The sequence below is a fragment of the Homo sapiens genome, chromosome 17 (assembly GCF_000001405.40).
Source record: "Homo sapiens chromosome 17, GRCh38.p14 Primary Assembly".
Taxonomy (NCBI): Eukaryota; Metazoa; Chordata; class Mammalia; order Primates; family Hominidae; genus Homo; species Homo sapiens.
The window spans coordinates 13,364,955-13,389,136 of record NC_000017.11 but is presented as its reverse complement, the minus strand read 5'-3'; the positions used below and the strand labels follow the sequence as shown (position 1 = coordinate 13,389,136).

General features: G+C 38.9%; 1 long non-coding RNA gene across 3 annotated transcripts in view; it reads left to right on the top strand.

Annotated features, from left to right (window-relative positions):
* The first annotated feature begins 1,947 nt into the window (after nt 1-1,947).
* The window catches only part of LOC105371543 (uncharacterized), a 35,728-nt gene continuing 13,493 nt past the window's right edge, over nt 1,948-24,182 (top strand). The window contains exons 1-2 of one of the 3 annotated variants that reach the window (XR_007065624.1): nt 1,948-3,625; nt 5,779-6,142. This is a non-coding gene — a long non-coding RNA (uncharacterized LOC105371543). Of the gene's footprint in view, nt 3,626-5,778; nt 6,143-24,182 lie in introns of those variants that run through there. The other 2 variants (XR_934238.3, XR_934236.3) reach the window with 2 other exon arrangements.

The window sequence follows — 24,182 nt, the reverse complement described above, 5'->3', positions numbered from 1 at the left end:
GTGATTCTCCTGCCTCAGCCTCCCGAGTAGCTGGGATTACAGGTGCCCACCACCATGCCCGGCTAATTTTTGTATTTTTAGTAGAGACAGGGTTACACCATATTGGCCAGGCTGGTCTCGAACTCCTGACCTCAGGCAATCCACCCACCTAGGCCTCCCAAAGTGCTGGGATTACAGGTGTGAGCCACTGTGCCCAGCTGATTCTTGGTTTCTTTTAACTTGAGTTCATTGACATGTTTTCACACCCTTTGAATGTGAAGTTTTCTAGATTCCTCTGTTTTCAGTGTGCTCTTGGATGCAGAATATAGTTGCCTTCTGTTTTGTAATACAAGTTGATGGTCTTTGTCGTTTTATGTTTAACCAGTTTCTAATTTACATTTGCTCTCCACATGCCATCTTGCTTTATTTTTTTTAATATATGCTTGTACATTGTTTTTCTTTTACTATCTTTTGTTATATAGATTATGTATATTTATTTATTTTCTCTATGGAATTTTAAGATATAAACTCTATTTTTAATTTAATTACAGTTTAATTTTTTAATGCATTCTTTAGCTCTTTAATGGTCTATCTCAAGTATAAAATAGTCTCTGCAATTCAGGAAAGAAAACTAGAAAATTTCATTTTTTTTTTCACTTCCCATTTTATGTATGAGATTTCAGAGGTTGCTGATTACTATAATTCTCATTTGAAAGCATTATCTTTTCTTTCTGAATGAACTATGGTATTTTCATAGTTCTTTGTAACTGTAAGTTTGTGAAACCAAATTATGTATTTAAACAATGTCAAATTTCTATTCTAAACTTTTTATTCTACTTCCTCTTTACTGAGCCTGAGTTTTCCAAAATTGTTAGTTTCTTATGACATTCGAGTTCATCTTTGGAAGACATTTTTCAGGATAAGTATGTGGATTGTATACTTTATGAAATTTGCATATCTGGAATTCTTTCCATTATCTTCACACATGTATGACATTTTGTCCAGGAATTTGAGGGTTCCCAAATTTTCCTCTCAAAAGTCTGTATGGATTTCTCCAATATCTTTTAGCAATTAATCTTGAAGGACAGCAGTCTCAACCCTCCCTGGTTCTTATTTCCTTTGAAAATAACTTACTAGATAGTTTTCTTTGTATAATAAGCTTTTCAATTCTCCCTGTGAACTTTAAAACATAATGTTAATTATAAAAATTTAATTTAGAGGCCGGGCGCGGTGGCTCATGTAATCCCATCACTTTGGGAGGCCAAGACGGGAGGATCACGAGATCAGGAGATGGAGACCAACTGGCCAACACAGTGAAATCCCGTCTCTACTAAAAATACAAAAAAAATTAGCTGGGCCTAGTGGCAGGGGCCTTTAATCCCAGCTACTTGGGAGGCTGAGGCAGGAGAATCGCTTCAACCTGGGAGGCAGAGTTTGCAGTGAGCTGAGAATCGTGCCATTGCACTTCAGCCTGGGCAACAAGAGTGAAACTCCATCTCAAAAAAAAAATTAATTTAGATATTAATCTAGTCTTGACAACTTATCAAAAAAGCAAAAACCAAGACGAAGCTATTTAGAGAGCATTTTCCAAAAGTATAGAGTAGCAATGGGATGGAAATTATAAGCTACTTTAGGGCAATATGTGTTCTGCTAGAGAGCTGGCAGTAAACAAGAGTGTGACATTGTGATATCATGAGAAATATACATTGGCTTCTGTCCCTAGTTCCCGGCACAGAGCTCCCCAGAGACTTGTAATTTCCTAAGTGATGGTAGGAGCATCTTTTGTTCTAATACTTGGTCTTTGATCACGGTTTCTCACACGTAACTCCTAAATCCCTCGCAGTTCCTTGAGTGACAGCAGTATCTTTTGTTCTAATGAGGTGATGCTTGCTGGGTTCCTCAGTAGCCTCAAGATGGGGTCAGGTCACCAGAAAGACCAAACTTTGATTAGAAACTTGGAATTTTCAGACGCATTCTTCATCATCCAAGAAGGGAAGACAGGCTGGAAACCGAGTTAACAATTGGTCCTGCCTACGTCATAATGCCTCCACAAGAAACCAGTAACTGAAGGGCTTTGGAGAGCTTCCGAGTTGGTGGCCATGTGGAGGAGCTGGGAGAGTGGCACCCCTGGAGAGGGTGTGGAAGCTCCGTTGCCTCCACCGTCTTTTCCGCCTGCTGTTCCTGAGTTGTATCCTTTTATTATAAATCTGCAACCTAGTAGTAAACTGTTTTCCTGAGCTCCATGAACTGCTCTAGCAAATCACCAAATCTGAACAGGGGCTCAGGGGAACCTCTGATTTATAACTAGTGGTTCAGAACCACAGGTGGCAACCTGGACTTGTGACTGGCGTCTGAAGGCAGTGGGCATAGTGTTGTGGGACTGCCTGAGCCCTTAACTTGTGGAATCTGATGCTAACCTCAGGTAAAAAGTGTCAGAATTGAATCAAATTAGAGGACACCCAGTCAGCAAATGTTGAGAACTGGATAATTGATGGGTGTGTGTGTGTGGGGGAAATAATCCCACACATTTGGTGTCAGAAATGTGTGAGTATAGGAGGAAAAAGTTACTTTTCTTTCTTTTTAGGAAGGGGAAAGAGGAGGGTAGAAAAGAATAAGGAAGAAGAAAATACAGTGGAGATTCCTGGCTAAAACTGGTTGGCTCATGTTTACTCAGCTTCATGGGTTTAGATTCAGTTAAGGTACTGGAAATAAGATCACAATAAAATTTCGTTTTTTTTTCTATAGAGAAAGGTCTAGAGATATTTTTGAAAATGTGATATGTATGTTTTACTATTTTGTGAACATTGTCCTTTATATTATATTTCAGTCCATAGGCTTCATGTATTTCAGAGTTACATTTGTATATTATTTAAACACGTTTATTGAAGTAATAATATCATACACCTAGTGTATTGCTATGTTAGTAAATATAGTGTTTATACAAGGTAGGTAATTAAGATATAATATTACATATCTACAGACCCAAAATAATATAATGATTATGGCTCAGAGTATGTTATACATTATAAAACTAATAACCTTTTGAAATAAAGATTGATTTTCTATAAACTCAGCCATCCACCCCCCAAAAATACAGAAAGGAAAAAATAGTCTTTCTATATATTGTGACATTTTTACAATTTCCAGAATTCCATGGAGTCTAATTTCTGCTGGGATATTTCCTCCAGGCTGACATTGGTTTCAGAAGGACGTATAGTTGAACCAGTTCTTGATAAGCCTGAATCTTTATGTGCTGCATGTCTGTAAGCTGCCCTCTCAAAGACCTGCTCTCCTCACGTGCTGCAGAAAGAAAATGACGTGGACAGAGACAGAAATGTCACAATCTACGCTCAGCTGGTCTGGATTATCCAACTTCTGAGGTGTATCTGCCGGCTGTCCCTGTATCCCATTATAAATCATCTCCTTGTTGAACATCAGGCCAGACTGGGGTCTGATTCATTGGCTGTATGTGGCTACCTGGCTCCAGGAGGAGCCTCTGTCTCAGTCCTGTAATAGTCATCATGCTTTAAGAAACCTTCACATTTCTGAACAGTTACATAGTGTCCTCAGCTGAAGAAAGAGGAAGTCTGGAGTCCATTTCCGGCAGTTAGCAGGGAGCTGTTTTCCTCTCTCTGACATTAGCAAGGTTTGTCAGCTTGTTAATCTTTAAGGGGATTTGGGGTTGAAATTTTTTGTGGGGTGGACTTTAGGGTGGATAATATAGTCAAAGTTCTTCAATGTGGTTTGAGGGAATAAAATAGATGCCCATGTTTTTTATGGCTGTAATTCCCACTTAGCCTTGGGTTTCAACTCCCAAGTTTATGTGAAAGGAAAACCACAAACTATTGGATAGTGTAAGCGCTATAATAGTAGTCTCTACCTTTTTGCTTGATGACTTCCAAGAATGTTTCCATAATTCTGAGGTAGCAGAAGCAATCAATAACTGTACTATAAATTACATGTGCATTGAGCATTCAAGCATTGTGGAGTCTGGGTCTCCCCAAGGCCACGGTTAACTGGTAAGGTTGGCCTGGACACATTTTCTTCCTTTTTCATTATTTCTCTGCCTGCTGCCTAATAGCCAGTTAAGATTTGGTGAGAAAAGCAGAATTAGGGAGTAACTAGACTAACCCCCTTTCAAGGGAAAGCTTTATTCTGATAAACCCCCTTAACTTGCAAAAATCACATCTGGGATTAGAAGTGAAACAGAAGGGAGGGAAAATTTCTCCCACAGGCACTTGACTCTACCAGTCACACTTAGCAATTATTCTTTGACAAATACATATTTGTCTTACACAAAGTGGTAGAGATGTGCTGCATCTGGCAAACATCACATAAGCCTTCTGTATGGCTGGAACAATGATGCTTTTGTTTCTAGTATTAGATGATGGAGAAGGAGTCAGAATGACATTTACCTCTATAGATACCATGCTCAAGCTTCCTCTCCTTAGAGCAGACAGAAGGCTTCTAAGAAGTGATCACCTTAGGTGTTTTCTGGAGAAGCGGTGTGCTTAGAACATCATGCTCTTTCTCTGAAAGTGTAATTTAAACCCTACTTCACGGACAATTGTGGGTGTTGAGGAAATGCATAAGAGTGGAAGACAGAGGGGAAAGGAATCAGATCTCTAACTTGTATTTAAACTAGAGTCACTTTGTTTTTAGCTTTTTAAAAATTGGCTTTCTTTCTGTCTCTCTTTTCTTCCCTCCCTCCCCTCCCTCCCTCCTTTCCTTCCTTCCTCCCTTCCTTCCTCCCTCTCTCCCTCCTTTCCTCCCTCCCTCCCTCCTTCCCTCTCTCCCCCCTTTCCTTCCTTCCTTCCTTCTTTCCTTCCTTCCCTTTCTGACAGGGCCTCACTCTGTCACTCAGCTTGGGGTGCAGTGGCACAATCTGAGTTCACTGGAATCTCAAACTCTTGGGCTCAAGAGATCCTCCCTCCTCAGCCTCCCAAGTAGCTGGAACAACACATGTGCGTCACCATGCCTGACTCAGCTAGATTTTTTAATTTTGTAGAGATAAGGTCTCACTCTATATCCCAGGCTGGTCTCCAACTTCTGACCTCAAGCGATCCTCCTGCCTCGGCCTCCCAATATTGGCTTTCTAAACAAGATTTAATGTAAAGAAATAGTTCCACCGCTTTAAAAAAGAAGGGTAAGAAAAACTTAAAAATCACATCCATAAAATGACACTTTGCTTTTCAGGTTTTTATTCCATACCTTTGGGGACAGCGACAGTCAACACCAACTTGTGGCATGGGATGGATTTCTACCAAAAGCCTCTGTGAATGTGCTCTGAGAAGTTTCTACAGAGTCTGACAGGGCCTCACTCTTTCACCCAGCTTGAGGTGTAGTGGCACAATCTGAGCTCACTGGAATCTCAAACTCTTGGGCTCTTGAGTTTGAAATATAGCAAAGAAAGGCTGGGTGCGGTGGCTCATGCCTTTAATCCCAGCACTTTGGGAGGCCGAGGCGGGAGGATCACGAGATCAGGAGATCAAGACTATCCTGGCTAACACGGTGAAACTCCATCTCTACTAAAAATACAAAAAATTAGCCGGGCGTGGTGGCGGGTGCCTGTAGTCCCAGCTACTTGGGAGGCCGAGGCAGGAGAATGGCATGAACCCAGGAGGCGGAGCTTGCAGTGAGCCAAGCTCACACCACTGCACTCCAGCCTGGGCGACAGAGTGAGACTCCGTCTCACAAAAAAAAAAAAAAAAAAAAGAAAAGAAAAGAAATATAGCAAAGAAAAATGCCAGTGCTCCTGCCTATGGAGTCACTAACTCTTCATAAATCCGTTCCAAATAGATCGTCAAGGACACTTGTGACAGAAACGTTTTCAACACCATGGCATGTTCCTGAAGAATCAAAGTTGGCCAGAGAGACTAAACAAGGATAACGCAGACCCTTTTATGACGCTGTTTTTCTATTTTTAAAAGGCAGTTCAAAAGATATTGGAAAACTTTCTCTCAAGTGTTTATTCTTTCTCTCTCCTTTGCTGAGCTTTTAAGGAGAGGTACAATAGAATATATAGTACACTTGTAATCAGAACTGGGTTTAGGTCTTAATTCTGCTACTTATGATCTACACGTTTTGGGATATGTTATCTAACTTTTACATACAAACGTATTCACCTATAAAGCAGAAAATAAACAACATCGGTGCAGCTTAATTCCTATGAAAAGATGTGAAACTAATCACAGCAGGGTCCCTTAGACTAATGTCTACATTCCTGTTTATGTTTTTATTTAAGTTCTTATTGTACAAATTGTTAATAGAAGGACCTGGTAGCTATGTGAGATACTGAAAATGTAATTGGTTATTATTTTAATATGTATAATAGTTGGGTGGTCTAGGATGATGAGACAATGCAGCCTTCCATCAAGTTCAAACATGTTTAGAAGTAGGCAGAAAATATACCTGCATAATTTAAGATCCAAGGAAACAGAAATCTAATGAGGTAATCAACCTAAGTTCAAGTTACAGATGTCTATGAGTAGAAAAAGGAATTAGGTAATGTATGAGACATGAATTTAGAGGTCTTGGAGCATGTGAAAACCTCCTTTGAGTTACAGAGCCATTGACATAACAATTATCAATAGGGTTTAATACATCACATCAAAGTTGCTGACAAGAATTCTGTTAGCATCCTGTCTGAAATTTTTCTTTTTGCAACCCCAAGTGTGCTGAGAAAGCAACCCCACATCATACATGGGATAATATAATAGTATCCTTAATTGGCAGAAAGAATTGTCCTGAATGCATGCAATGCTCTATATGTCTTACGCCCATTAGAAGTTGTGATTAAATTCACATCAGTTACTCAGAAGGGTAAGTATCCTCCTTAGTGGTAAGTATCTCATAACTCTGAGAAGAGTTAGAAGGCCGAGGCGGGCGGATCACAAGGTCAGGAGATCAAGACCAGCCTGGCGAACATGATGAAACCCCATCTCTACTAAAAATACAAAAAATTAGCCGGGCGTGGTGGCGGGCGCCTGTAGTCCCAGCTACTGGGGAGGCTGAGGCAGGAGAATGGCATGAAGCCAGGAGGCGCCACTGCACTCCAGCCTGGGCGACAGAGTGAGACTCCATCTCAAAAAAAAAAAAAAAAGAATTCAGCATTGAAATGTAGAAGAGGTCGGGCACGGTGGCTTAGGCCTAGCACTTTTGGGAGGCCGAGGCAGGTGGATCACTTGAGGTCAGGAGTTTGAAATTAGCCTAGCCAACGTGGTGAAACCCCATCTCTACTAAAAATGCAAATATTTAGCCAGGTGTGGTGGCAGGTGCTTGTAATCCCAGCTACTTGGGAGGCTGAGGCAGGAGAATTGCTTGAACCTAGGAGGTGGAGGTTGCAGTGAGCTATCGTGCCACTGCACTCCAGCCTGGGTGACAGAGCAAAACTCTGTCTCAAAATAAAAAAAGAAAAAAAGGAAAGAAATGTAGAAGAAAAAGAACATCATAGTCTTAATAGTTGGTGCTTATGAACTCGTTATGTTTAAGAAAACTTGGCTTACTAAAGTGGCCACCCAATTACTGCAAATTTAATTGGGTAATTGAATATTTAATTTAAACTTGTGATTTTAATTTGAAATATTTCTAGGTTGACAAACTTAGAATGTGTTCCAGGGTTCACGCCATTCTCCTGTCTCAGCCTCCCGAGTAGCTGGGACTACAGGCACCTGCCACCACGTCCGGCTAAATTTTTGTATTTTTAGTAGAGACGGTGTTTCACCATGTTAGCCAAGATGGTCTCGATCTCCTGACCTCGTGATCTGCCCGCCTTGGCCTCCCAAAGTGCTGGGATTACAGGTGTGAGCCACCGTGCCCGGCTGGATCTACCTGTTTTTAAATCAGAGGTTCTCCTTTATGGCTTCACATTAAAAATTACCTGGAAGTTTTTGGAAGTTCCCCATACTTGCCTTTTCCTGATAGTCATTGATCCAGATCCCTGGAGGTGGGACTCAAGCAGTGGTATTATTTTTAATGCCCACTAGGTACTTCTGATGCATTGTAGGAGTTAAGAACCACTGAGATATAGAATATGCTTACACAAAAATTGCTTGACATCCATTTTAGACACTATCATTACTTTGCCATTATGAACTGAAGACTTAGTTACTTACACAATCCCCATCTTTCCCTATTCCTTGCTTTCTACTTTTGGTGTTACATAATTATTAACGCTTTCTCATTGATTGTATTTATAATTTAAAATATGCTTATACTTCTATGTCTGGTTTGTCAGATTTAGACATTATTAAATTTAGACACATTCCCCACGTACGATGGGAATATGACTCTTCTTACCCTATCTTCCACCTTTCCTTATCCCAGTTATCAACTTCCACTAACAATATCAGTATCCGTACATTGCGAAGATTGATAGAATTAGCATTGTGTTCTAGAATGACATATCTATAAGTTGATTGTAAACTTCATAAACCAGAAATATTATTTATCTGTACAGAAAAGATTTCATATATAAATATATCTGTATTTACAAAAACAGCACATAACAATGTTTAAGAAATTTGCTCTGTTACTTACTAGCTTTATGATCTTGGACAACTCAGTTAACTTCTTTTTACATCAGTCCTTTACTTCTAAAAAGGGTAAATAATATGAATCTCTTGGGGTTGTTGTGAGGATTCTATAATTAACCCATGGCACGCAGCAAAGACTCCTATTCTGGTAGTTATTCTTACTGCTTAGCCCAGTCTTGTACAGGCATTACATTTCCTTTACTGCTTCAATATGATAATCTCTGCACTATACAAAGTAGAATATTTTCTGAATCAAGGTGAAATAGATTTCTTTTACTTATACTCTAACAAATGTTTTTCTAAAAATTTCATTTTAAATGATTGTTTAATGCTCTAACCACAGATTTCCTGTATAGCTTCCCCTTGCTTTGCAGGAAAGAGTTTCTAAACACTTTCATTTTTTCTAATTTCCAAAAACATAATATGCCCCCATTATATCTTCAAAATATTCCAATCTTTTCATTATGTCATCTACTAAGGCAAGGAATTCACTGTCTTTTGGGGACGTCCATCCACCCCTCTGACCTCTTGCTACAATCTAGACCAGATGCTTTCCAGGCTTTGTGGATGCCAGGGGAATCTAGGGCTGTTTCCTGCATTCCACAATTACCTGTCTGATCTTTCTCTGTTTTTGCTGGTGTGAATCCTCAAATAACTTCCTCAGAATGGTACGTGAAAGGCAAATTTTCTTAATCTTGGCATAATTGCTATCATGCAATTATATTTTAGCTCCTAGCAGTATTTTTTTCATTGACAAACTCATCCTAAAATCCACAGGAAACACAAAGACTCTAGAGTAATCCAAACAACTTTGAAAAACAGACTTGAAGACCTAATTCTACCTAACTTTAAGACTTGTTTTAAAGCTACAGTAGTCAAAAAATTGTCATATTGGCTGAAAGATAAAAGCTCAATGCCTGTAGTATCTCCCAAATCCCAGTCATCCTAACTTGGACGTGCTCCCATTTGGAAGTGACAAAGCAAACCCAATCAACTGATATTTGGCTTCACCATCCACAGGAATGCATCTCTAGTCAAATATGTCTCCTATTAATAGATCTCAGCAGCCCCATCAATAGCAGGGAGGCTACCTCCATAGAAGGATCTTCTTGCAACTGGAAGGTTGTTAGCATCTGTGTTATTGGACACCTTGAACTCTGTCTTTGTCTACTCATCACCATGAGTGCTACCTTAGTTCAGATTACCATCCCCTTGTCTAGATTTTGATACCAGCCAGCCATTGGCATCCCCGCTTGCAGTCCTACAACCTCTCATCCATTCCGCATAGTGCTTTGTCTAAAAGGCAAATCCGGTAAGTTCACTCCTCTATTTAGCCCCTGCCAACCTAGACACACACGGACCCCAGATTGCTCAAGGTGCTTTAATATTATCTGAAGAAGACAGTTCCTTCTTTCATCTTTCTGCAATCCAGTTTTTCCAATGCGTTTGCTCTGCCTCACATTCAGATTTTTGTACAAGTTTTCTCTGTGTCTGGAATATTCTTTCTTCTCTAGCACTCTCCCTACATCCTTGGTGTATCTATTTAGGTTACACTTCCTCTAGCAAGCCATCCTTGACCTTCCCACAGCTGGATTAAATGCCTCTCCACATGCTCTTACAGCCCTCACTTACCCTCTCTTAATAGTTTTTTCTTCTGTTCACCCCGCTAGACTGTAAGCTCTTTGACAGCAGATACTATGGCTGTCTTGCTCACTGGCTTGTGGTACATAACAATTACTAAATGCCCATCAAAATACTAAAAGAAGAAAAAACATGTGTAAGGGGATAGTTTTCTTAAATCAACACTTTTCCTTTTTCTTGGGCTGTTATTGGCGAGTGTCTGGCATTATTTAAAAGTTGTTCCAATGCAGTAGGACTGGTTTACATTACTCTTTCATGAGGGCTAAAAAAGGAAACCAGGCTGAGTTTTAAAAATATGCTATTAGTAATGATCTCTTTTTAATGATTGCCATCTCCTTGCCATTTGGAACTAAGAGTGGGCAAGTCTCATATCCAGAGCCTGAAGGGCTGTTTGCTGACCAAATCTTGGGACAGAGAAGGTGCTGCTGCTTCGGAGAATGGTGGCTCTTTGCCACAGGAGAGTGGAAGGACTGCAGATTGCAGTGTGCCTCTATAGCTCTCCCTGTGATATTGTTGGATGTTTGTGCTAGGAGAAGATGGTAAAACCATTAGGCTTCCTGATGCATTTGTAACTGATACTCACAGTGGAGAAAGGATTCGGGAGTCCAATAGAGAACTGGCTGTTTTAGGGAGCTTTTTAAAGAATTCCTCTTCCTTCTCAAGCCACGTAGGCATTCCTGCTGAATGGGCTTTTTTAAATTTTCCTTGTGAACATGCCTATAATCATCAGCCAAAAAAAAAAGCGTTTTGGAGATGGCTGTCTAGGATAAAGATAGGTTGATTTTATTCAAAGATAATGAAATTTGGGGGTTTTTTTCCTCCCAATGTGTGTAGGTAATGACTCTGATTTCTTTTATCAAACATCTCGGATAATATAAACATAAATGAGTTCAGAAATGTTGAACACAGGACACTTGGGAAGCTGTGCACTTATAAAAACTATGCTTCCTCTGGTCATATCCTCTCTGGATTATTCGTGGGCATGGCCCCAAGGCTGTGACACACGTTTTTTGGAAAGGGCCAAAAACCACTCAGAAGTACAATAGTAAATAGGTTGGATAATTAACATGGATACTTATCTTTTAGGCTGAAGAATGAAAAGAAAGACAGAGAAAGAGTGAGAGAGTCAGTGTGAGACATAACTATAATGCAATGAGTTGGTTTAGTGTTTGGGTAAGTCTCAGTGTTCCTGAGGAAGCTGGAGATTAGCCTTTATGCTCAAAATTGACTTCATGTAACATGGATTTGTCCATTTAAAGTGGCTAGTAGAAGCTTGTTCAACATCAGCCAGGGTTCACTATCTCACAGCAAATTCCAAATGTTTTCCTTTAAACAAAAATCTAAAGCAAGGAGTGGGGTTAAATGGTTCTAAATATGTGTCTCTTTATTAACGTACAGCTCCAGTAATCTCACACAAATTCATAGGCCCTAAACTCTACCTCTGTCTTACTGGCCAGAGCATAAAAGGAGCCACACCCATACATTTGTGTAAAGTCATGACCTTGTGAATGCAGGTGGAGGTCAAACACCTCAGACCTGTGCTTAGGACAGTCCATGAGGGTTCCATCTTTGACAAAGTGAGGCACGCAAAATGTGCGTATCTACCTAAAGGTTGCGTTTTCTGCATACTTCCAGGAATTCTTCCACACACTTTCCATAGATTACCTTCTTGATGGTCACCACCACCCCATGCAATTACTGATATAAAATGCTCCTATTTTATATCAGACACAGAGAAGTGACTGCTCCAAAGCCAGAGAACCACCCTCAGGCAGACTCCAGAATCAGGACTCTTATTTAGGAATGTGAACTCTCTACTCTAAGGTGAAGAGCTGACTGTCTGTGCCTTTTATTCTTCACAGTTTCCTTTGTGAGGTTGGCAATAGTTATCTGCATTTTATAACTAGGGAGCTAGACACAAGTAAAAATAAATAACTGGTCAAATATAATCTACAGCAGGCATTAATAGTCTTTGATGATTAATTGGATATAGAGTGGGAAGAACTAGGAAGGGCCAAGTATGATTCTCAGGTTTCAAGCACACATGGTTTCATTGAAACAGACTGAAGAAGATGGTATGAGAAAAAAAATGAAAATCATCTCTACTTGAAAGACAGGGAGTCTGAAGCAGAGTGGAATATCCCTGTGGGAAAGGCTTGTCAGGATGGGGCTCCTGCTTCTGAGAAAGGTAGAGCACTGCATGGTAAGTCAGCAAATAGAAGACTAGATTTAGACAACACCCAATCAAGGATCAGAAGGAGAAATAGAGAATGGGAGCCATTGAAGGGTTATTTTATTTGAGATTGTCTAGTAGTCATCAATCAAACTGCAGGTTTCCTTATTTATGTTTCAGGAGAAGAAATCATGGCAATGACTAAAAGAAAATAAACTTTGTGATGCTTTTCCAAAAACACAATGAATATTTTATAGAAAATTATAGATGAAAATGAGGGTGTAGAAATAGATGATATAAATGTACGTTTAAATATAGATGTGGATGAAGGAGCCAAGAGTAATATTTTGATGAGAATTTAACCTGGAATCCAAAGGTTTGTCCTTTTTGTTTTGTTTTGTTTTGTTTTTGTTTTATATTTTTTTGAGATGGAGTCTCGCTCTGTTGCCCAGGCTGGAGTGCAATGGTGCGATTTCTGCTCACTGCAACCTCCGCCCCCTGGGTTCAAGCAATTCTCCTGCCTCAGCCTCCTGAGTAGCTGAGATTACAGGCACCCACCATCACGCCCGGCTAATTTTTGTGCTTTTAGTAGAGACGGGGTTTCACCATGTTGGCCAGGCTGGTCTCGAACTCCTGACCTTAGGTGATCCACCTACCTCGGCCTCCCAAAGTGCTGGGGTTACAGGCGTGAGCCACCATGCCTGGCTGGTTTATCTTTTTTCACCAAGCGTAAACTACATCTATATTACTTTAAAAATTTTGCCCCAAAATTTGCTCTAGAAAAGCACCTTTCAGTATACCATCTTATTTTTCCTGCCTATGTGCCACTTATTTGAGCATTTTAGGGCATATGATTTAGTTAATTTTAGTATTTTGGATCAATCTTTCCTCATCATCTGGATTAAACATAACTTGTGGTCAAGATTTATGTCATATATTCCTTCTGTACAGTTATTGCACAGTGATTAATTGATAGTAGAAGCTAATTATTTATTCAAATAACATTTTTATTAGCATCTTTTTTGTGCCTGTCACCAAGATAAATAAGTCACAAAAAATGCTATTACAGCCAGTCACAGAAGACCACATACTGTATGATTCTATTTATATGAAATATCCAGACTTAGCAAATATATAGGAACAGAAAGTATATCAGTGATTGCCAGGAGCTTCTGGAGAGCTGATATGGGTTATGGTGAGACAATAGCTAAAAGGTGTAGAATTTCTTTTTTGGGTGATGAAAATGTTGTAAAATTAATTGTGTTGATGGTTGCACAACTGTGCATGTACCAAAAACCATTAAGTTGTACACTTTAATGGATGAATTGTATGATATGTGAATTATACCTCAATAAAGCCGTTACTAAAATATACAGTTTCATAGTTTGTTCTCTCTTGAGGAAAACTTTATATTCAAATGCAATAAATGTGCAAATTACCATGTAGTAGCATGGTATACATGGAGGCATGCGTGAAGAATTTTGGAGAACAAGAGGAGGATTTTCTTTTGTCCAATAGTATCAAGGAAGCTTAATAGCCATTTCATTGATTAATTAATTACTAGCTGTGCCTACAGTTCCCGGCACCATATTGCCTCTAGCCTGGATAACTATCAGCTTTCTCAGACTTGGGTATTAATTCATGAATTTAAGTCCTGGTCACGTGGGAAAGGAACATACCTCCTAGCTGCTTGGAGCTCCCTGAAACATTTGCTTTGCATTCAGACTGAAACCCAGAAGAACAGGAAATCAAGCTCTGACATGTGGGCATTTGGTCCAGCGGCCAGAGCTTTCTTTCTTTCTAAGATTAATGAAGCACAAAGATGCCAGCTCTTTCCTTTCAACTCCCCACAATAATCGGCTCTCAGCAGCCTGCCAGTTTAATATTACTTCACTTCAATGCTCAGGAACGGTCCCAGTTGGAAACGGCCAGGAAAACTTGGTCCAAGAGTTTTTATGAAGAACAGCTTAACAACCCCTCTAGAACATTCCGTAAGCAATATTACAAGCTTTCCTTTCTTTTTATATCTAGAGATGGAGAAAAAAGTGGGGGGCAACATTGGAATCATGAGTCAAATTTCAAAGTCAATAAGTTGAACCTCTGCTAGGCCCTGGATACTTTCTAAATTAATTGACCATCAAATTCTTACCCTCTACATCTGCATTACATTAGAGATCATAAAACTATTTGGGAGTTTTTTGCTACTTAAAGCAAAGATTGTGTGGGCATAATGCTTTGAGAGGGCCTGTTCCTTTTCAAAAATTATTTTGAATTCATAAAAAGAAACAAGATTATCTTTTGAGTTTATGCATTGCTATTCCCTTCCAAAGAGCTCAAAGGACTTTGTGTCGTCTTGTCAGTCTTGATAAGGGAAAATGAAGACAGACCTATATTTGCAGCTGACTCTGCAGGAGAGCTTGGATTTTCTGCTAGGCCTTTCGGTGTTTGCCAACTATTGCATAGCTGAATTTTCTGCAAGTCATGCATTCCTTCAGTCCTTGTATTAATTCATTCATTTATTCATCCAACAAATACCTACGTAGTGTGCTAGACACTAGATAGACACTGGAGATATTGAGAGACGAGGTTGATAAGCCTCTGCCCTCAGAAGGTTACACAGGTTAGTGCAAGAAGCAGGCATTCTAGAAGTAAATCAATGAAGTAACTATTGGAGAAATAAATCTAGTGTTGTTATAGCAGATAAAACAGAGTGTAGGGGGGTTATCTACTTTAAATAGTGTTAGCCCAAAATGCTCTTGGAGGAGGTGGCAATTTAGCTGAAATAGGAAGAGGAGAAGTCAGCCACACCTGGAAAGAGTCAGGGAAATGTGCTCCACACATGGGGAACAGTGAGTGCAAAGGTCCTGAGGCAGAAAACAGTTTAATTGTTTTAGGAACATACAGATCAGTGTGGCCAGACAGTGAAGAGAAGAGCAACCAAACAGGAATATGACTAGCACCTTGTATGTGGTAGAGGCTGTGCTATAAACTGACAAGAATGATACTGGCTAATTGCACTGGCTAAAGCTTATTGACTGTTTCCTAGGGAACCACACACTAGACTAAGTTGTTCATGTGCTTTCCCTACTCCAAATTCGTAAGATAGGTTTCATTATCTTCATCCACATTTTACAAGTAAAAGAAGAGAAGGTAAAATGTTGAGTCAACCACTTAATGAACACAGACAACAATGCAAGTCCAGGACAGGGATTTGAACACTGGTGTTTGGATGCTAGAATCCAGGCACTAGGCAGTCTGCTGTGGTACCACTTGGCAGTTACTTAGCACACAGGGAGTAGGGGAGCCAGAGGAGTAAACAGAAAATTAACACATAAAGTCTTGGCTCCAGGAAATCAATGGATGCTCGCAAGAGCCTCTGAGCAAGCCTAAGAGGTCAGGCATGCCTTGCTGGTGGAGAGGATGAGTTGGGGCCAGTGTTCCAAGAGGAAGACCAGAGGCTTTCAAAGAACATGGGCCACTGAGACAACCCAAGAAATTCTGCAAAATCAAAACACAGGGGGCAAGAAGTGACTGGGGCTTGTTGAGAGATAATGCTGGAGCAGTAGACAGGTTCAAAGCCGTAAAGATCTGACCCTCCTTGCTGACTTCTATCAGCACCTACATCACCCCAAGTACCAAGATTGCCATCAGTGTTAATGTCAAGAGCAACATCTCTTTCCTTATGTTTGTTTGGATGCAGATCAAGGGATAGCAATGAGGAGACATTGCAGAATGCTGTAATAATGTCTGCGTTATCACTCCAGCACATCATACGTTTGTACAGGAAACAGACCACAAAATATCCAAGTCTCACTCAATCCTGTGAAGACACCTGCTGACTCTCTTGAGTTAGTCAGGAGCTATTCCAAGGATATGTAACTCTGTGTTAAATAAGCCAAATGCAACGCTATTCCTGAATCTGTCTTCTTGAGTTCAGAAGTTTGTAGTTTTGAGTTCTTGGGGAAATTGCCTTTTTCTAAAGATAATGCTAAATTTAACTCTGGGCCACTGTATGTGAAGGAAAGTAAGAAGCTAAAAGGTCAAGAAAGGAAATGTCAAGTTGGAAACGCCTTGGAAAGTTCTTAGAGCCATGCTCTCTCTATTGTGGTAGAAGCCAATGGCTATTTTCCCTTCTTTCTTCATTGTGCTCTGGTTTGGTCCCAGGAACCCGCCTTTAGGAGACAGGCTGAGCCAGTAAGCCCAGCTCTGACAATGGCTTCCTCTGTGTAATACATTCCAAGCTCTTGGCCAAGCCCAGGATATCCAGGGGCTCCAGGGAATGCTACACTGAGGACCTTCAGCGAGGGTCCCGAAAGCATCTGTGGTCACCTCAAATCAAAGCATCAAGAGAAAACAAGATAGAGACAGCAAACTTAGACTGTGATTCACAAATTGTTTGTATTTCTTCTATTTTTGAAAACTTTTTTCTCATTCCAGAAGTAAAATCTATTTATCACTAAAAACTTGGAAATTACAGAAAGATAAAAAGCAAGCAAATAAAAATCACCCATCATCCTGTTATACTTTTTATAATTTGGGGTAAATCTCTTTAGTTATTTTTATTTAACTATAAAATTTATTCTTTTTATAGAAATATATATTTTTACAAAAAGCAAATATAAACATATATACCTATAAGTAAATATGTTATTACAAAAAATATATATAACAGAAAATGGAACTGATTCCATATATGGTCTCCACTTCCCAATTTTCTAATAGGGGTTTATTATTTTCTTAATTATTTATAAGGGTCTTCCTTTTTTTTTTTTTTTTTTTTGAGATGGAGTCTCACCCTGTCACCCTGTCGCCAGGCTGGAGTGCAGTGGCACGATCTTGGCTAACTACAACCTCCACCTCCTGGATTCAAGCAATTATCCTGCCTCAGCCTCCTGAGTAGCTGGGATTACAGGTGTGTGCCACCATGCCCAGCTAATTTTTATATTTTTAGTAGAGACAGGGTTTCACCATGTTGTCCAGGATGGTATTGATCTCTTGACCTCAAGATCCACCTGCCTCGGCCTCCCAAAGTGTTGGGATTACAGGCCACCACGCGAGCCATCATGCCTGGCCTATAAGGGTCTTTTCTATATGAAAAGGACTTACCCTTTGTTAGTTGTACAAAACATTTTTCAAATTTATAATTAGCCTCTTAGTAGTTAATCCTTTTCTATACGCGAATGGTTTTAATTTCCATGAGTCAAATCCACTATATTTTCCTTTATGTTTGATGCCATTGATATTGTCCTTAGAAAACTCTTCACCCATCCCAAAATTATGTAATCACCTGCCTTTTCCTATAAAACTTTTATTTTTTCTCTGAATGTAAATCATTAATTCTTATGAAATTTATGCTGGTAAAGAGTATGAGGAAGAAATCCAGCTTGCTATTTTTCAAATTGGTGAGCCAATGACTTCATTATCATTTACTGGCAAATCCATTGTTCCCCCAATGAATTAAAATTGTTGTCTTCATTATGGAATATTTTTATACTGATAATATGTTTCTGGACTTCATTTGCAGTTCCACTCCTCAGCCTGTCTGCACCACACTGTATCTTGCTATTTTAATTATGACATATTTTTTAACTGACAGGGAAAGACCCTCTTCAATATTCATTTTTTAAAAATTATTTTTATGTGTACTTTAGTTCCAAATTAACTTAAGAATTATGTTGAAAATTCCAAGTAAAATCCCCGTGGGCTAACTTTCTGGAAATGAATGAAATCAGAGCTGGAGGCCGAAGCAGCTTTGGAATCCTGTGTTTGTTCTCTCTCTCTTTCCCTCTCCTCTCTGTCTACCTGTCTCGCCCTCTGCACCTTCTGATGGTCTTTCACAATGGGCTACCTCCTTTCCTTCTTGCAGCAGCTCTCCATGGCTGGCCTCATTACATCTGCGTTCTTTTACGGTAGGCCCTATTGTCAACTGGTTTCATTTCATAGCATTTCTCAGTGGTCTTTCTAAAAGCTCAGTACAACTATTTGTACCAGGATGTTGGTCACCAGCCTGTGGCTGAATTGTCTACCCTTGTTTCAGGTGCGTTCCAATTCTAAATGAAGTAGCTCTGGAATGGAAAACCAAACACCGTATGTTCTCACTCATAAGTGGGAACTAAGCTATGAGGACACAAAAGTATAAGAATGATACAACGGACTTTGGAGACTCAGTAGAAAGGGTGGGAGGAGAATGAGATCTGAGAATGAGGAGTGGAAGAGAAAGATTTACCTATGATAAATCACCGCTATCCAATACCAGGGATGGTGGGTGGGATATGTTTTCTTAGACAAGAGTGTATACAGTGCCGGCATTTGGACACTTGGCTTAACTAGATCATAAATGTAGCAGAACACATAGTATATAAACCTGTACTTTCTGTATAACTTCAATTTTTAAATATATAAAATTTGAATTATATACCTAATCACAATAGCATTTATTGAGTCCTTATAATCAGCTAAGCACAGTGCTAAGTCATTCATGACCATTATCTCATTAAATTGCTTTCAGTCACAAGGTAAATATTATTCTCACTATTTTACAGCTGGTAGAACTAAGGCTCAGAAATATTAAATCAAAGTTACTGTCAAAGGTTAAATCAAGGTTAATGTCAAAGTCAGAAATTGAATCAAGCTTACTTTGTCTCCAAAGCCCAGACTTTTCAGAATTATATTCATATTTCTTAAGAAGGGCTAGGAAGAAGTACAAGAAATGCTAAGAAGGTTTTCCTGTGATCAACAGGGCTAGAAATGATAGGATTTCCATAAGAGGGAGTCTGGTGTTTAAGGCCACAGGCTACAGAATTTGACCTGCGTGTTTAAATCCTGGCGCTATTGTTTACCTGCTGTGTGTTTTGGGTGTGACTTAACCTCTCTAAGCCTCACTTCCTTCAGCTTAGAGTAGTTGTAAGAATTAAATGGAATAATCCATGTAAGGTGCCAACATGCATGTTCACAGACCAAGTTTAATAAATAGTAGATAATTTATATATATATATATACACAATTTCAATAGGTTTTGGGGAACAGGTGGTGTTTGGTTACATGAATAAGTTCTTTACTGATCATTTACCCAAGCAGTGTACACTGTACCCAATGTGTAGTCTTTTTCCCTCACCTCCCTCCCACCCTTTCTTCTGAGTCCCCGAAGTCCATTGTATCATTTTTATACTTTTATGTCCTCATAGCTTAGCTCCCACTTATAAGTGAGAACATACGGTGCTTGGTTTTCCATTCCAGAGTTACTTCATTTAGAATAATGGTCTCCAATTCCATCCACGTTGCTGTGTTCTCTCTCTTTTTCCCTCTCCTCTCTGTCTACCTGTCTCACCCTCTGCACCTTCTGATGGTCTTTCACAATGGGCTCCCTCCTTTCCTTCTTGCAGCAGCTCCCCATGGCTGGCCTCATTACATCTGCATTATTTTACCATAGGCCCTATTGTCAACTGGTTTCTATGTTGCTTTGAATGTCATTATTTCATTCCTTGTTATGGCTGGGTAGCATTCCATGACCGTGCCCAGCCATTTCTGGACAAACTTAATAGAGTCAGGTGAAGGTCACTTTCTTTACTATGCTTCTACCAGTCCAGTTATCCAGATATATATATACACACACGCACCATGGAATATATATATATATATATATATATATATATCACATTATATATATCACAATAGATATATCACTATATATATCACTATATATAGATATATCACTATATATAGATATATCACTATATATGTCACTATATATAGATATATCACTATATATAGATATATCACTACATATAGATATATCACTATATATAGATAGATATATCACTACATATAGATATATCACTATATATAGATATATCACTATACATATAGATATATCACCATAAATATAGATATATCAGTATAAATATAGATATATCACTATATATAGATATATCACTATATATATATCACTATATATATATCACTATATATATCACTATATATATATATATCACTATATATATATCACTATATATATATATATATCACTATATATATATATATATATATCACATTTTCTTTATCCAATCATTGATTGAAGGCCATTCGGGCTGGTTCCATATTTTTTCAACTGCGAATTGTGCTGCTATAAGCATGCAAGTGCAAGTATCTTTTTCGTATAATGACTTCTTTTTCTCTGGGTAGATACCCAGTAGTGGGATTGCTGGATCAAATGGTAGATCTATTTTTAGTTCTTTAAGGAATCTCCACAATGTTCTCCACAGTGATTGTAATAGTAGCTCTTATTTAATATTTTTTCAGTATTTCCTCAAATTTCTCAATGATTATATATTTCGCCTTTACTTAAATGAAGGGTGAGGGTAGAGGTTAGTTTTCCTTATGTTTAATAGTGAACACATGTATTTAAAGTGTCAAAATTGAATTGTATTAAGACATTCCCCAATTTTGCTGATAACTAATGGCATACATGTTTAAATAAGCCAACAAGATTTTTATTTGTAGTTGGAAGCCCAAAAGTTCAAGAGAAGGCCTTTTTATTTTCTGGACAAACTTTTTTGAGACAGAGTCTTGCTCTGTCAACCAGGCTAGAGTGCAGTGGTGCGATCTCAGCTCACTGCAACCTTCGTCTCCCAGGTTCAAGTGATTCTTCTGCCTCAGACTCCCGAGTAGCTGGGATTACAGGCACCGCCACCACACCTGGCTAATTTTTGTATTTTTAGAAGAGACGGGGTTCACCATCTTGGCCAGGCTGGTCTCAAACTCCTGACCTCGTGATCCACCCACCTCAGCCTCTCAAAGTGCTGGGATTGCAGGCGTGAGCCATCGTGCCCAGCCATTTCTGGACAAACTTAATACAGTCAGGTGGAAGTCACTTTCTTTACTATGCTTTTACCAGTCCAGTTGGCCAGATATTCCTTGAAGGCCAATCACCATTCTATGTTCTGTAAATGTCCTCTATGACAGTGTTTGACAGTGAGTGAATTCTTCAATTACCAGCATCAGAGTTCTTTGCTCAAAATTTAAAATCTTGAGCACCAACTCTCATTTACTAAGTCCGAATCTCAGGAGATGGGCTCCAGGAATATTTTTTTTCTCTTTCTTTAAACTCATTGCATGCCAATGAGTTTGCAAATCACTACTTTAGGAGACCCAAAATTGATGAAAGAAAAAGGGAAGTGAGTTGTAAGCCTAGTTCTGACTTCAACTAGCTATGTGTCCTTCAGAAAGCCCCTTCACCTGTCTCAGGAATCCAAAGAATTCTGGGGTTTCTTCCAGGAATATTATAATTTTCATCCATGTAAAAACATATGGCACAAAGAATAGTAGGTACATGCTTCGTGGATATGGAACTGGACAATACTTAAAACAAAAGTAGGAATTTTTGGACAAAATGTATTGAGTATTCCAGTCAACATGAACATAGCTAACATTGGAGGGGCAATGACACAGCATTCCTGACCTGGATCATGAGCTTCTCCTTGGAAAGTAGCCAAAGGCAAATTATGAGGAAAGACTGCTGTCTTAGTCCGTTTTACAATGCTATAACAGAATAACACACACTGGGTAATTTATAAGGAAAAGAAATGCATTTCTTACAGTTCTGGAAGCTTAGAAGTCCAAGTGTCTTACTTGGAAGGCCAGCATCTTGTGAGGACCTTCTTGCTGTGTCAAAACATGGCAGAAGGCATCACATGGCAAGAAGACAGGAGCATGCTTGTCAGCTCAGGTCTCTCTTCTTCTTATAAATCCATCAGTCCCATCATGGGAGTACCACCCTGAAGACCTTGTCTAATTCTAATTACTTTCCATTGGCCCTACCTCCAATCTACATATGAATTTGGGGATTCAGTTTCTAATACATAAAATTTGGAGGACACATTCAAACCAAAGCAACTATAAGCTGCCTTAAATATCGGAATAAAAAAGTTTTATTTTTGTAAGTAGGCAACTACTGGTCATTGATAGCTGATGAGCAGAGGAATGGCATAATGGAAGTGTGGTTTTGTATGTCAGGAAATGTAAGAGCCTTGTGGCAGAATGGCCAATTAGGAAGCTCCTAGAAATTTATGGAAAAACACTAATAAGGCCATAAATTGGAGTGGTCATGAGATACAAAGAAGTGATTCAAAATGACTTAAATATTCCAGTTTTAGTCCTGACAGGGAAAGAGCTTAGAAGCCATCATGTCCATTTTTATAACAAGAAAAAGCTGGACAAACTGAAAATAGACAGCCATAGCTATGCACAGGAAAAATTTGAATAAATACATGAAAATATTTTATTGGGAGAAAAGGTTTACTATAGAAAAGTGATAGATTCTCTTCATTTTAGTATAACTTTAATAAAATGCCATTAAAAATTTCACATAGTTTTCGAGGACACTTAATATGAAAATCTTAATGTTTACTTTGTGGAATAAAGTCATAAGAAAAGCAAAAAAAATTAATAAAGGTAAATAGGGTTATAGGAGGACTCTTGACAGATTTTTAGTTGCATTATTAATTTTGGTTCTTAAAACCATGAGCAAAGTTCTGACAAAAAAAAATTAGAGAGTAGATGTTCTTACTTACCCAATATATCAACTTAGTATTTTAGAAATTTAAATGGGGGTATCAAGGGATCTAGTCATTGGTTGTCTAAAATAGTAAAGGCAGGATTGTGGTTCATAAGGGGCCTCATCCCAGCACACACATCAGATATGTCTATTTCTAGAGTAAGTAAGGGAGGCATATTTCTTAGGAAGAAATTAGGCTCTGAGGATATAGCTCAGAGAGGTTGGAAGCTCTGCTTCAAAATATTCTCAGATGTCTTCTTCCAGATGAAACCTTGTCATCCCTACAGCATAGCTGTCATCCATGGAATTCAAGATGGCAGCATCCAGACATAGGCCGGAAGAGGCAGAAAGAGACTATAAAGAGGAAGAGGGCACAGGTCATGGGACAACAGCCCTATAGGACAGTTTCCGAAAGTTGCCTTCTTCTTTTACCACACTGGCAAAGAAAAAAAGAAAGTCACATGTTACTTCTAGTTGCCAAGGAAGATAAAATGTTGCCTTTTTTTTGAGCATCCCAGTGCCCAGTTAAAATTCTATCATGGAAGCAATGGATATTTGAAGACAAACAACAGTCTCCACCAAAAACGGAGGGAGACAGAATTGAAGGGAGGAAATTGAAAAGGTATTATAATGTGGAATTTGGGAGCATCTTTGTGAAATAGTCTGAAATGAGCATAGATGTGGATATTTCTTGGCTCCCTTGGCATGAATGATATCATAAAATAACCCCCAAGTTTCCTAAAGTTCCACAATCCTGAGTCACATCTTTCTGCAGCATCAGTTCCCGTTATCCCAGAGCCTAAACAAGAGACTACTAGGAAAAAGAAGTTCTTATTTTAGAAAATTTTTAAAAATAATGATAATAACGTATGAAATCATGGCATCATGCTGCGTATAATATTTTAATCTGTTTTAAAACTTAAAATTTTGGTAACATTGTCTGGAACAATAACCAATATAGAATGAGAAATTCCCAAGATAAATAAATCTTTTTCTAAATCATTGTTTTTTAATGTCTGCATAGCATTTCACCATAATTTATTTTACCAAGACCTCATTGTTGGATGACCACATCATGTAGTTCTGCCATAGCAGGTAAAGCAAAACCTACCTCAACCATAACAATGCCTCCTTTTATCCAAGTCAAACAAACAACTGCTCAACTGTTACAGAACCTGTTTAGCTTAAGTGTCTTGCTCTGTTTTCCCAATTAGCAATTGTCCAGGTAAACCGTTAATCCCAAATTGCTCACTTGGCATTAAAGGATTTTTTTTTCCTCTTTCCTTTAATCAGTGCAACCAAA